The sequence below is a fragment of the Homo sapiens genome, chromosome 2 (assembly GCF_000001405.40).
Source record: "Homo sapiens chromosome 2, GRCh38.p14 Primary Assembly".
In the NCBI taxonomy this organism is placed as follows: Eukaryota; Metazoa; Chordata; class Mammalia; order Primates; family Hominidae; genus Homo; species Homo sapiens.
The window spans coordinates 169,204,874-169,218,269 of record NC_000002.12 but is presented as its reverse complement, the minus strand read 5'-3'; the positions used below and the strand labels follow the sequence as shown (position 1 = coordinate 169,218,269).

The window sequence follows — 13,396 nt, the reverse complement described above, 5'->3', positions numbered from 1 at the left end:
AATTGAGGGTTTGTTCAAGTGACTAAGAGCAACCCAGTTGGGTTGGGAGACAATTAGAAGAGCTTAGAATTTTGTCAGAGGACATAGGAGGAGAAACAAGACAGAGACTTGAGGATCTAATATCTTGGATTCTCAGTGAAGAGAAAGTCTTGATAAAGTTGTGATAAATGTTATTGAACCAGTTGTTGCAGAAAAATATCTTTGTGGATGATCACTAATAAAGAGCTGAGGCAGTTACAGGGTCTCTGATGATATTCAAGAGAGGATGTTGAATAGAGATAGTAGAAGTTAAAAGAATGGAAGGAGGATGAGGAAATGTGAATACTCTTTTAAGAATTTTGTATTGGAAAGTTAGAGAAAGATAAACTTGTAGGTCAAAATGTAACAGGAAAATGTCTTTCAGAATAGAGAAACCTGAGTGTATTCTTTAGCAGCAGATGAAAGATCAAGGATGAAGAAATAATTGATTGAGAGTGAAAGTTATGGGGAAGGAATTCGAAATTTATGAAGTAGAATGACTTGAAATAGTCAATATGCGGAACATGATATAAAGTCTGCTAGGGATGAGAATCCTCAGCTTAGATTAGGGAACTTAGATTTTTAGTGAATTCAGAATTCACGAAAGTTTTGTGCTATGTCCAGGAAACTCTTGGTACCCTGAAATGGGAGAGGAGAAAGAAAAAAAAGGGCAGAAACCCAGGGTTGGAGATTAGCTTAGACACAATGGGAACCCAAAAGAATAAATAAGAATATTGTTGAAATGGTTACATATGATGTCCAGGTGTAGAAGAACTGGAGGGTTGGGAGCTCAGGCAGGGCTTAAGGGCAAAGAACAAGTTTAATAGGAAAAGTTAAAGCAAGGAAGAAATGAGAGGTTTTGGTCGAAGCAGAGCATTTCAGAGTTTGAGAACTTAGAGGCGGAGAAGTTTAGAGTTGAAGATGAAATTCAAAGGACGGGTATATTGATTTGGTGGTGGAAGAGGTAGGTGAATAAAGACTATTTAAATGAAGGGGTTTAAGGACTTTTCAGAAAAGAATGTAGGAGAATTGTCTGTTGAAGATATAGAAGGAGGTGCAATCAAAAGGAATTAAAAGTTGGGTTCAAGTCTAGAACTTACATCTTCAGTGGAAATGGAAAACAGCCCTTAATATATTTTAATACATTTTCATATATCATGGATTTGGCAATGCTGTGTGGTAATTATGGTTCATGTGTACCTGATCGCTGTGAAATAGAAAGAAAAAAGAAGTCTTCCTTACCCCATAACAGCATGATAATGAGATTCCACTCTCACAGAAAAGTGTTACTCATTATTTCTCCTATTTTCTGTGTCAGTTTTCAAAATTCTTTGCATTTTTCATCACAGAAATCAGGTTAGGTAATTAAGTAGCCGGTCTTGTGGTAGATGGTGATTTGGGGAATAATTAAATGAGGCCTGGTAAGTGATCAGGGAGTGTACTTGGCAGCTTTTTATATTAGCTTTGGCCTTCACTATGTACTGAAGATGGAGGGATTATTGATGTAGGTTTCTTCCTTGTCATAAGCTTCCCACACACCTGACCATGCTAAAAGTTCAGCTGCCAGTGGGATACCCTAGCTTCTTATTCCAGACACCATTTTAAGTGGCCTCTACTCCAGTTATAGCTAGGAAATATACCGACATTGGTAGAACACTGGTGAAGTACCCCTCCACGTTGTATGCAACGAGATATTGATTTTCAGCCTTTGCCCATTGTATTGTGAGCATCTTGAGGACAAGTAATACACATTGTCATTTATGTCACTGACTCAAATCCACCTTCTGTTTTGTTACATGCTGGTGTTTTTCATGGTTGTAGGAAGCTGTACTGGTCAGACCAAGGAACTGACAGTGGGGTTCCTGCCAAGATCGCCAGTGCTAACATGGATGGCACATCTGTGAAAACTCTCTTTACTGGGAACCTCGAACACCTGGAGTGTGTCACTCTTGACATCGAAGAGCAGAAACTCTACTGGGCAGTCACTGGAAGAGGAGTGGTATGAGCACCCTTTCAGTCTTTTGGTCTTTATGCTGAGCTGGTGTAGCTGATGCTGAGTGTTCTGAGCTGTCAGGCAGTGGTTCTTGAACAATCTTACTTGGTAACTTGTACCAGTGTTTCATTGCCCCTTCTCCCAATAACTTCTCTCCCTTGCACGTACCTCGCCCCTAGCTGAAGTCCAGTTCTTTATAGTATGTGCATAGTTCCCTATAGGGTAATGTTTATTAATTTCCCCACCAACGTTTTTTTTTCTTCAAGATAAATTAATTCCATTTGTCATTTCTTACTTGTCATTTCAGAGCCATTTCTTTCATGGTTTAGTGATTTCAGTGTTTTTCTTTGAAAGTACTCTGGGTTCTCCAATTATAGAGAATATACATATACCTATATATATGGAGAGAATATATATATAAAAAATATAGAGTATGTATCTATACTATATGGTATATAGAATCTATATAGATTCTATATATGATCTATATAGATTCTATATATGATCTATATAGATATAGAATATATATTATAGAATATAGAATATATATTTATAGAATACAGAATATATATCTATTATATATAGAATATAGAATTTATATATCTGTATAGGATATAGGTATATTCTATGTATCTACCTATGTGTGTGTGTATGTATGTATGTATCTATTTATTTACGTAGCAAGGTTCTGAACTCAGCATCCCCTCGTAGCTACACATTCTTCTCTAATATTTTAACATGATTAATGCACATGCGAAACTTTCTTTAGTGGTGATTTTCAACTCCAAGGTTGGGTTCATTATATTCTACAATAAGAAGCAGAAACTATAAAGTCTCGTTCACTCATTGAAATAGGATTTCACCTTCACTGAGCTGGGGCTAAGCACATAGACAATGCTCAATAATAATTATTGATGAAGCATTGCTTTGGGTGCTGAACTGAATATATGCTAGTCCCTTCCTTGCTATTTAACAGTAGTTACTTCAGATCCTTGACATTGATGCTTTTCATAATATTGTGCAGTAGGTTTGGCTTTCAGTTCATTGTTTGTTCAACAAGTACTAACTTCACTCCGAATATGGACCTATAATGGTGGTAAGCTTTGGAGATTAAAAAGAAGTGATGATGTGTGTGAAAACACTTTGCAGAGTTGGGTGCATGTGTGCAATGACGAGGAAGCTCTTGTTACATGGTATGGTTTCTGTACACACATCTGACAGGGCACAGCTTCTAAATCTACGTGCTTGTTAGTGGTGTGACTCTCCAACCTTTCTCCTAGTGTAGTTCCCTTATTTCTCCTTCACTCTCCTGGTTTAATCATCACCAAATGCTGCAATCCATCCTCAGCCTGTCACTCATGCCCAGATCTTTTCTGCCACCTCCACCATTCTGAGCAACCTCTCTCTGGCCTTGACTAGGCATGGCCTTCAGTGGTGAAGCCTGCTTTCATGTTGGAGACATGTTTTCTTCATAAAGCCACAGTCAGCAAGTTGGATCACGGCTCAGCTTGGAGCCTTGCCCTGAGGAGTAGCTCCCAACACTTCTGTGAGGTTGCTCAGCTAATCTGGTCCTGGCCTCCACTCTCTCCACTCTCTCCTCCAGGCTCATGTTTCTTATATTCTAAATTCTAGAACTTTGATCAGTTTCATCAGCATAACCACTCTTGTAACTGCTGGGCTCCCTTTTCAGCCATGGCAGTAAAGCCACACTGTGTCTCTCGCCAATACCCAGCCCAGATCCTGGCACAGAGCAGGCACTTGAGGCAGGTTTTTGGAGTGAAATTAAACCAGCTACATCTACATTTCATTTTTCTTCCAGAAGAAGCTGACTACTTGTCATTTTCCCTTAGGGACTTTATTCTTGTAGTTCTTTTCCAGTGTACCAAAGCTATTTTGATTAAAGCTTGTTATCTGTTCAAATTTAATGGCACCATTTTTGGCCCTGTCCTGTCTTGCTGTCCTCTGTGGTTGTTTGGGGGCATATTTCCAATCTCCATTACAGAAATTGTCAGTGAAGGTGTTAAACTCAGGGTGAGTCAGCTCCTGTGCAATGGCCCACGCTTAGATGTTTGAGTATATCCTTGACCAGAATATCACATGCAGGGACTAGTGGTTTAGCTCCCTTTTCTTCACCGTGCCACCTGAAAAGGTTGACTGACTCATGTGAGCTCCGTCTTCATTATCAATGAAAGGGGCACAGTGACATTTTCCTGACCTGCTGCTTGGTGTCGTTGTGATGATCAAATCAGAAAATAGAAGTGAAAAATCTCTGTAAGGGATAGAGGGCTGTATAAATGTGAGACATTATAATTAGGAGAATATTAGTGTTTAAATGTTCAAAATTTTCACTATGAATCCATGAAACTAATGAAAATTCCAATCCTTTAGATTGAAAGAGGAAACGTGGATGGAACAGATCGAATGATCCTGGTACACCAGCTTTCCCACCCCTGGGGAATTGCAGTCCATGATTCTTTCCTTTATTATACTGATGAACAGTATGAGGTCATTGAAAGAGTTGATAAGGCCACTGGGGCCAACAAAATAGTCTTGAGAGATAATGTTCCAAATCTGAGGGGTCTTCAAGTTTATCACAGACGCAGTAAGTATTTGTCACTGAAATACATTCATGGGTGTATAATGCATATTCACACATAACTCACATTTGTAAGCACACACCCACACACAGTTTCACGTACATACACGTGCATACAAATTGAAGTTACCTGAAATATTTAAAAAATGATAATGAAGTCTTAAACATGGTTAAGTGCCAAGGGCTAATTTGGCATCTGAAAGGCCAGATTGACTTCAGAGTAAGTTTATTCCCTTTCTCTTCCCATTACTTTCAATTCCTTACTTTGCTTTTACTTCATAGAACTCCCTGTTTTCTATTGTTTGTGTTACTTATTAGAATATAACCTCTGTACGGGCAGGCATTTTGTCTGTCTTGTTTGCTGCTCAATACTCGGTGATTAGAATAGTGCTTGGCACATAAAAGGTGCTCAGGGCATATGAGTTGGATGCCTGCTGGGAAAGTGCTAATGGGATGGAATTTTTAGTCTTAAAAAGAATGCTTTTGGATGTTGCCTATTTCAACATTTTTTTCAAAGATAATCTAATTTCTGATTTACCCCTTTAAATTAGTGGTATGATACAGGTATTATTTTTTGATGTATTTTATAGCTTTCGTCTTCAGCCAAAGATGATCAAACAATTTGTTTCCTGTCCTATAACCTAAGTTTGTCACTAGGTATTTTTTTAACTGCATGTGAAAGAAACACATGCAATAGAAATTAATTTTTTATTACTATAAAGAATATTCTTTTTTTTTTATTTTTCCATAGGTTTTTGGGGTACAGGTGGTGTTTGGTTACATGAGTAAGTTCTTTAGTGGTGATTTGTGAGATTTTGGTGCACCCATCACCTGAGCAATATACACTGCACCCTATTTGTAGTCTTTTATCCCTCGCCCCCCTCCCACCCTTCCCCCAAGTCCCCAAAGTCCATTGTATCATTCTTAGGCCTTTGTGTCCTCATAGCTTAGCTCCCACATACCAGTGAGAACATGCGATGTTTGGTTTTCCATTCCTGAGTTACTTCACTTTGAATAATAGTCTCCAGTTTCTTCCAAGTCACTGGGAATGCCATTAATTCCAGGACTATTCTTTAAATCTTATTTCATATATTTAAAAAAAATCACATTATTGATCATGTAACTGAACATATTATTTTAAGTGCCAGTTCATAGGCAAATTATGAGCAGATTTATATACTGACCTCCCTAATCCTCGCATGATTTGTAGAAGAAAACAAGTGAAGCCCCATTCTCTAACTATTATACAATAGTTGGGTTACTGGTTTCATACCTTTAGGTGTTATTGTATAAGCTCTAGTCTCTCCGATGTTGTTTTTAGATTGCTAACTCAGCTACTATATGTTGGTTATTAATTTTTAGAATAAATTATTTGGTGACCCAATTAAAGAAATTTGAGATGGGGTGGCGAGTAGCTAGGATCAAAAGTTACAAATGGATTTTGTTTTCATTTAGATGCCGCCGAATCCTCAAATGGCTGTAGCAACAACATGAATGCCTGTCAGCAGATTTGCCTGCCTGTACCAGGAGGATTGTTTTCCTGCGCCTGTGCCACTGGATTTAAACTCAATCCTGATAATCGGTCCTGCTCTCCATATAACTCTTTCATTGTTGTTTCAATGCTGTCTGCAATCAGAGGCTTTAGCTTGGAATTGTCAGATCATTCAGAAACCATGGTGCCGGTGGCAGGCCAAGGTATGCCAACTCCAATATAAGTAAGATTTGACTTCATCTGGCACCAGGTTGAAATCCCTGGTGCCATGAAAACATTTCTTCATGTGTGGATTCAGTGCATAATGAAGCTTTCCTTTCCCTTTAAATCAACTGGCACAGCCTAAAGTGTTTTTCAAACTTTAGTGTGTCTCAGAATCACCTGGAGGGCTCACGCCAACACAGCTCCAGACCTCGTCCCCAGATTTTTCTGATTTTGTAGTCTAGGGTAGGGCCAGAGAATCTGCACTCCTAATAAGCTCCCAGGGCATGCTGACGGTGCTGGCCCATGGATCACGCTAAGAACCACAGGCCCAGAGCAATATAGAATGTAGGATGGGTTTGCAAGAAGTACTACAGAGTTGGTGTTCCAAAGAACTGTGCCCTATTTCTGATTATTAATGGAGATTTATGGTAGAAGGTATACTACTATTTAATATGGTAATGAAATAGTCCACAAATATGATTTATTAATATATATTTGGTGAATTGAAGCAAAAGAGTTCACAGTGTCAGTCCCTCTTTAGTAATCATATTTTTGCAGCACTTTGTGCTTACATACTGTGAATGTATGAAACGATCACTTGCTTCCTAGATGAGCCAAGGTTTTTAGGTATACCTTAGCACAAGAGGAACTAAGAGTTTTCTAACATCGCTAGGAGAATGTCACAGGCTAAAGAGAGAAATAGAGGGTAGAAAGGAAGGAAAAAAGGATGAAGTCAATGAAGGGGTTGTAGAGATGGTCAGAAAATACAGAAATGCACCTGGAGAAGGGAATCAGAGAGCTTCCAGTCCCACACGTCCTCCTGCCTGATGGTCATGTTCACGTGGACCCATGACTCATCTTTGTTTTTCCATATCTAAAAAGTTATGGATCTAAGTTATCATCTTGTACAGATATGACAAATTCAATAGTTTTTTTCTCCCAGCTTTTCATTAAAAAAATGTTCAAACACAGAAACGTTGAAAGATTTAGGAAATATCCTTATACCCTTTACCAAGATTTAACAGTTGTTAACATTTCTTCACATTTGAGCTCTCAATTTGTATGTGTGTGTGTGTACATGCATATGCATTCACATTCATTTTTTATGAACCTTTTAAAAATAAATTTTAATACCATGCCACTTTACCCCTACATATGTTAGCATACAGTTTCAAAGGGCATTATGAAATATTCATAATCATATTTCTCCAGTTGGCCTCACAATATTTTATATATAGCTGTTTTGTTCCATCCAAGATCTAATCAAGATTCATGCACTGCACTGGGAATATCTCATTAGTTTCTTCCAGTTTGGAGTAGTTGCCTCTAGCTTTTTGCTATGACATTGATGTTTTAAAGAGGCAGACCTGTTGTCTTTGAGAATCCCACACTGAGGATTTGTCTGAATATTTAGTCTGTCTTTCATTTTTTACCCTGCAGTTCTCATGAAATGGAAGTTAGGTCTAATTGCTTGATTAGATCAAGGTTAAATACATTTAGCAATAATACTTTATAGGTTATGCTGTGTTAGTTGATACAGAATCTTATTAGGAAGAACATAATGTCAGCTTGCCCTGCTCTTAGTGGCATTTGAGTTTGATCACTTGGTTAAGGTGGTCACTGCTACACTGCTGCTTTTTAAAGCTGTATTTTTTTTCCTTCTTAATTTTGGTGGAATCTATGCAATCACACTTAGGCCCTGTGAATGTCTTGGCTCCCAAGCACCTTTTACCCATTGGTTTTGGCAGCCATGGATGATCCTTGTTTGAAATGATTATTTAATCGAGGATTGCAAAATGGTGATTTTCTTATTTTAGCATTCCCTTTACATTTGTTAGATAATATTCTTCTATAAAGGAAAGCTCTTCGTGTCTCCCCGGTTTACTTTTTAAATAATTTATTATTATTATGGGCTCAAATTTTTATTTTTTAAATTCAGTGTGTTACAGTCAATTACTGTAATCCTTCTTTTGATGTTTTAGTGGATCCATTTTGGCCAGGGAGAACCTCTTCAAGTGGCGACCTGTATATTTCTGTGTATGCCTTGTTTCTTGGTACAATAAGATGTTTCACACTCACTTCGTACCTTCCCTGCCTAAACCTATAATCAACATTTCTCCCGGGAGCCAGAGCTCCTTATTGTGGGAAAGAGTAGAAACCAAGATGTGGGTCTGCTCACTGCAACTGGGAAAAAAGGGTTTCATTTTGTAATGGGGAGATGCTCAGAGCAGGGGGTTGGGAATGAGGGTTTGAGAGGAAGGGCAGACATTTAAAAGTTCTAATTTCAGTGACAGCATTTTTTAATGATCTTTTCTTAACTTCCAGGACGAAACGCACTGCATGTGGATGTGGATGTGTCCTCTGGCTTTATTTATTGGTGTGATTTTAGCAGCTCAGTGGCATCTGATAATGCGATCCGTAGAATTAAACCAGATGGATCTTCTCTGATGAACATTGTGACACATGGAATAGGAGAAAATGGAGTCCGGGGTATTGCAGTGGATTGGGTAGCAGGTATGTAAGCTATATGGTGATTTTAATATGTTTGCATCTCTGTCATCTTATTTTATGCTAGAAAGTTTAGCCTAACTCCATGTGCTACAGGTTTGTTTTTCTAGACAATTATTAAGACCATTTAAGATACATTGAATCTAGATTAAGCTACGTGTCTATTTGATAAATGATACGGTGTTTCAGTTTACAGATTTATAACAAATTAATCCTTATCATTTTCTTCTGTTATTAACATAATCTGGAGACAAAAGTGGCTAAAATATTAAATTATGTGGATTTGTTTTTTTTACACTTAGATTTGCACCTGATTTCTGCATTAGAAATTTTCTAAATTTTCAAGAGAAAGAGATATAAAAATATAAACTATGGAACAGCATTCATTTGCTTTGAAGCTGAGCAATTTTAGTTGCCAAATTCTTAATTGCTTCCTTTTATTCATATATAAAAATCCCTTAGATCATGAGATATTTTATTAGTAATTTTTTTAAATGCCTGGTCCAGTATTATATTAACTTAGTTGTATTTATTCATGCACATAAGCTTGAATAACCCCTCATTTTTATCACTCATCTGAGTAAAAATACCACTCATAATTAGTGGTATTATATGTTTTGGAATATAATCCAATTCTACATAAAATCAGTATCATTGAATCAAGCTTGGTGAGTAGGCATCACTTAGAAATATTAGCATGTAGGCAGGGCGCAGTGGCTCATGCCTGTAATCCCAGCACTTTAGGAGGCTGAGGCAGGCGGATCACCTGAGGTCAAGAGTTTGAGACCAGCCTGACCAACATGGTGAAACCCCATCTCTACTAAAAACACAAAAATTAACCAGGCATGGTGGCGTACGCCTGTAATCCCAGCTACTCAGGAGCCTGAGGCAGGAGAATCTCTTGAAGCCGGGAGGTGGAGGTTGCAGTGGGCCGAGATTAAGCCACTGCCATCAAGCCTGGGTGACAGACTGAGACTCTGTCTCGAATTAAAAAAAAATTTAAAAAAAGGAAATATAAGCATGTATTATGAAAATCTAAGTACTATAATAAGAGTTTATTGCAAAAAGTAAATATGGAAGTATGGTTAAATAAAGCTTTAATTGGGTTCCTAACTCCCGTTCCTGAATAGAAATTACTATTTCTGAGGGTATAGATAAAGCAGTAGTCAGCAAACTATGGCCCGTGCGTCAAATGCAGCCTGTTGCCTGTTTTTGTAAATAAAGTTTTATTGTAACACAGCTATGCCCATTTATTTGTGTATTGTCTATGGCTGCTTTCATGTTACAGTGGCAGTGTTGAGTACTTGTGAAACCATATGCTCTGCAAAGCCTAAAATATTTATTATGTGGCCCTTTACAGAAAAAGTTTGCCAACCCTGGATTAAAGGATTGGAAATGAGCAAATGCATACATAGCAAGTAGAGTTAGGTAATGAAAAAATGTATCAGTAACATATTTCACATTGGCCTGATTTCTCTAGAGGTGGTTTGAATCAGATATAGGAACAAAATATGTGTGTCTTGGTAGTAGCATTGATAGTTCAACAACAGACTTTCAACTACATGAAATCAATAATTTGTGGTCATTCTCTACTTATTATACTATCTTCATAAAGTTATCTTTTTATTCTAGCATGTACATAAGGCCCAAAGGGAAATGGACTTTTGGTCACTTTTAGAAGGTCCATGGGATGAAAACACCTACATTAGTTAGAAAGACTAAGGAAAAACTTCATGTTAACCTTAAGTTCAAAGACCATTTGATAACATTAATAACAACCTGAGATGCTGCTGGTGCTCCCTCTTTGCTACTTTTATCACATTGGGATGGAAGTTGTGCTATGAAAATGTATATTTAGAGTGTTTCAAGTAGGTATTAAGCATTTAGAGCTTCAGATAGAAAAGGAGGGACATTCTGGAAAATATACCTTTCAGTAGAAAGTGGGTTATGATGTTGCTATGAATTCTAATCTACTTTAGAAGCTGAAGATAGGCACTTTCTCTCTAAATTTGAAGACACAATCTCTATAATTCCTAGGAGTAAGAACTTATTTTTCTAAGCCTAGACTGGGACACTATCATCTTGGAAAAGACAACATATAGTGACCCAGACTTCAACCTTATATATTTTGTTCTGAATTTGTAAAGTTCTCCCTTTTTTTCTTCTTGGTTCTCCATTGATCAGCATGCACTTTCATTTTTCCCATAGGAAATCTTTATTTCACCAATGCCTTTGTTTCTGAAACACTGATAGAAGTTCTGCGGATCAATACTACTTACCGCCGTGTTCTTCTTAAAGTCACAGTGGACATGCCTAGGCATATTGTTGTAGATCCCAAGAACAGATACCTCTTCTGGGCTGACTATGGGCAGAGACCAAAGATTGAGCGTTCTTTCCTTGACTGTACCAATCGAACAGTGCTTGTGTCAGAGGGCATTGTCACACCACGGGGCTTGGCAGTGGACCGAAGTGATGGCTACGTTTATTGGGTTGATGATTCTTTAGATATAATTGCAAGGATTCGTATCAATGGAGAGAACTCTGAAGTGATTCGTTATGGCAGTCGTTACCCAACTCCTTATGGCATCACTGTTTTTGAAAATTCTATCATATGGGTAGATAGGAATTTGAAAAAGATCTTCCAAGCCAGCAAGGAACCAGAGAACACAGAGCCACCCACAGTGATAAGAGACAATATCAACTGGCTAAGAGATGTGACCATCTTTGACAAGCAAGTCCAGCCCCGGTCACCAGCAGAGGTCAACAACAACCCTTGCTTGGAAAACAATGGTGGGTGCTCTCATCTCTGCTTTGCTCTGCCTGGATTGCACACCCCAAAATGTGACTGTGCCTTTGGGACCCTGCAAAGTGATGGCAAGAATTGTGCCATTTCAACAGAAAATTTCCTCATCTTTGCCTTGTCTAATTCCTTGAGAAGCTTACACTTGGACCCTGAAAACCATAGCCCACCTTTCCAAACAATAAATGTGGAAAGAACTGTCATGTCTCTAGACTATGACAGTGTAAGTGATAGAATCTACTTCACACAAAATTTAGCCTCTGGAGTTGGACAGATTTCCTATGCCACCCTGTCTTCAGGGATCCATACTCCAACTGTCATTGCTTCAGGTAAGTGCACTCCAGGTGCTGCTTGTCCTGCAAGTAGACACAATGGGGTCAACACACATGGATGACTGAGTGTTTCTAATGCATATGAGACTCTAATGTCTTTGTGTGTGCTTGTGTGTGTGTCTGCCTGTATGTGTCCAGGTATAGGGACTGCTGATGGCATTGCCTTTGACTGGATTACTAGAAGAATTTATTACAGTGACTACCTCAACCAGATGATTAATTCCATGGCTGAAGATGGGTCTAACCGCACTGTGATAGCCCGCGTTCCAAAACCAAGAGCAATTGTGTTAGATCCCTGCCAAGGGTATGCCATCATCTTCCTTGTTATATTTCTGTCTGCTTATTTCTGGAAAAAATGGGGCCTGAAATTATGTTCATAGATAGCCAATGTGTTATGGGCTTATAAAACTATGGCTACAGATTCAAAAATGAAAGCATATTGAGTGATTTTACGTGGGAAGGAGGGTGCAGCGCATAGCTCCCTTTGATGGCAGAAAGGTTGGCAACATACTAGGAAGTCAACACCCTGACTTACTAGATCTCCTTTGGACAAGTTGTGTAAGTAGAAATGAAGTTTCTTTTGCCATGTTACTGGCAATTTGCAATTAAAGAATATTGTCCTTTTTTTTTTTTTTAAAGGACTATGAGGTTCCCTGTGAATTAATTATTGACTCCTTTTGTATGACTAGGTACCTGTACTGGGCTGACTGGGATACACATGCCAAAATCGAGAGAGCCACATTGGGAGGAAACTTCCGCGTACCCATTGTGAACAGCAGTCTGGTCATGCCCAGTGGGCTGACTCTGGACTATGAAGAGGACCTTCTCTACTGGGTGGATGCTAGTCTGTAGGTGTCTCTGGTTACTCATGTGGGTGTTAAGAAGAGGTTTTTCTTCCATTTCCAAAGAAGAGGGATTTGCATCATGTGATGAAAATATAGCATGCCAGATAGACATTGCCAGAATATAGAATCACAGTTTTAGGAACTATGTTTATATTGGAACTTGGTGAACATACTGTGAAAATTTATCTATATCATGCATTGAATAATTATGAACTAAAAGACATCTAAAGATGCATTGCTAAATATATCTATAATTTCAGCTATAATTATAAATGTATTTTCTCAATTTAGAATTACAAATGAAATTACTCAACTTACATTCTGCAGGCCCTAGGTAACTGCTATAAAATCTGAATGACTTTTAAATGCCAATTGATATTATGTTTTTTTCTGGGCTTTAGCATTCAATGTCTTTTAGAAAATTCTTTTCTTAAAAAAAAAAAAAGAAAATTCTTTTCTTCAGTCTTTGACTTTTTGTCATCTTTTCAAATAGACCCTTTCTTCTCTGGCAAGCTTCTCCTCAGCGCATTTCTTAATATTTTCCTTTTGTCAACTCTAATTTTGTATGTAACTTCTCCAAGTACCCCCCATATGTCTCACATTCCAGT

General features: G+C 38.1%; 1 protein-coding gene across 4 annotated transcripts in view; it reads left to right on the top strand.

The window, feature by feature from the left end:
* The window catches only part of LRP2 (LDL receptor related protein 2), a 235,426-nt gene that overhangs the window by 144,265 nt on the left and 77,765 nt on the right, over window positions 1-13,396 (top strand). For all 4 annotated transcript variants that reach the window (XM_011511183.4, NM_004525.3, XM_047444340.1 and 1 more), the window contains 7 exons: window positions 1,840-2,017; window positions 4,400-4,613; window positions 6,063-6,302; window positions 8,629-8,817; window positions 11,020-11,940; window positions 12,082-12,247; window positions 12,633-12,791. In XM_011511183.4, coding sequence (XP_011509485.1) covers window positions 1,840-2,017; window positions 4,400-4,613; window positions 6,063-6,302; window positions 8,629-8,817; window positions 11,020-11,940; window positions 12,082-12,247; window positions 12,633-12,791 — 2,067 coding nt within the window. The remainder of the gene's footprint in view (window positions 1-1,839; window positions 2,018-4,399; window positions 4,614-6,062; window positions 6,303-8,628; window positions 8,818-11,019; window positions 11,941-12,081; window positions 12,248-12,632; window positions 12,792-13,396) is intronic.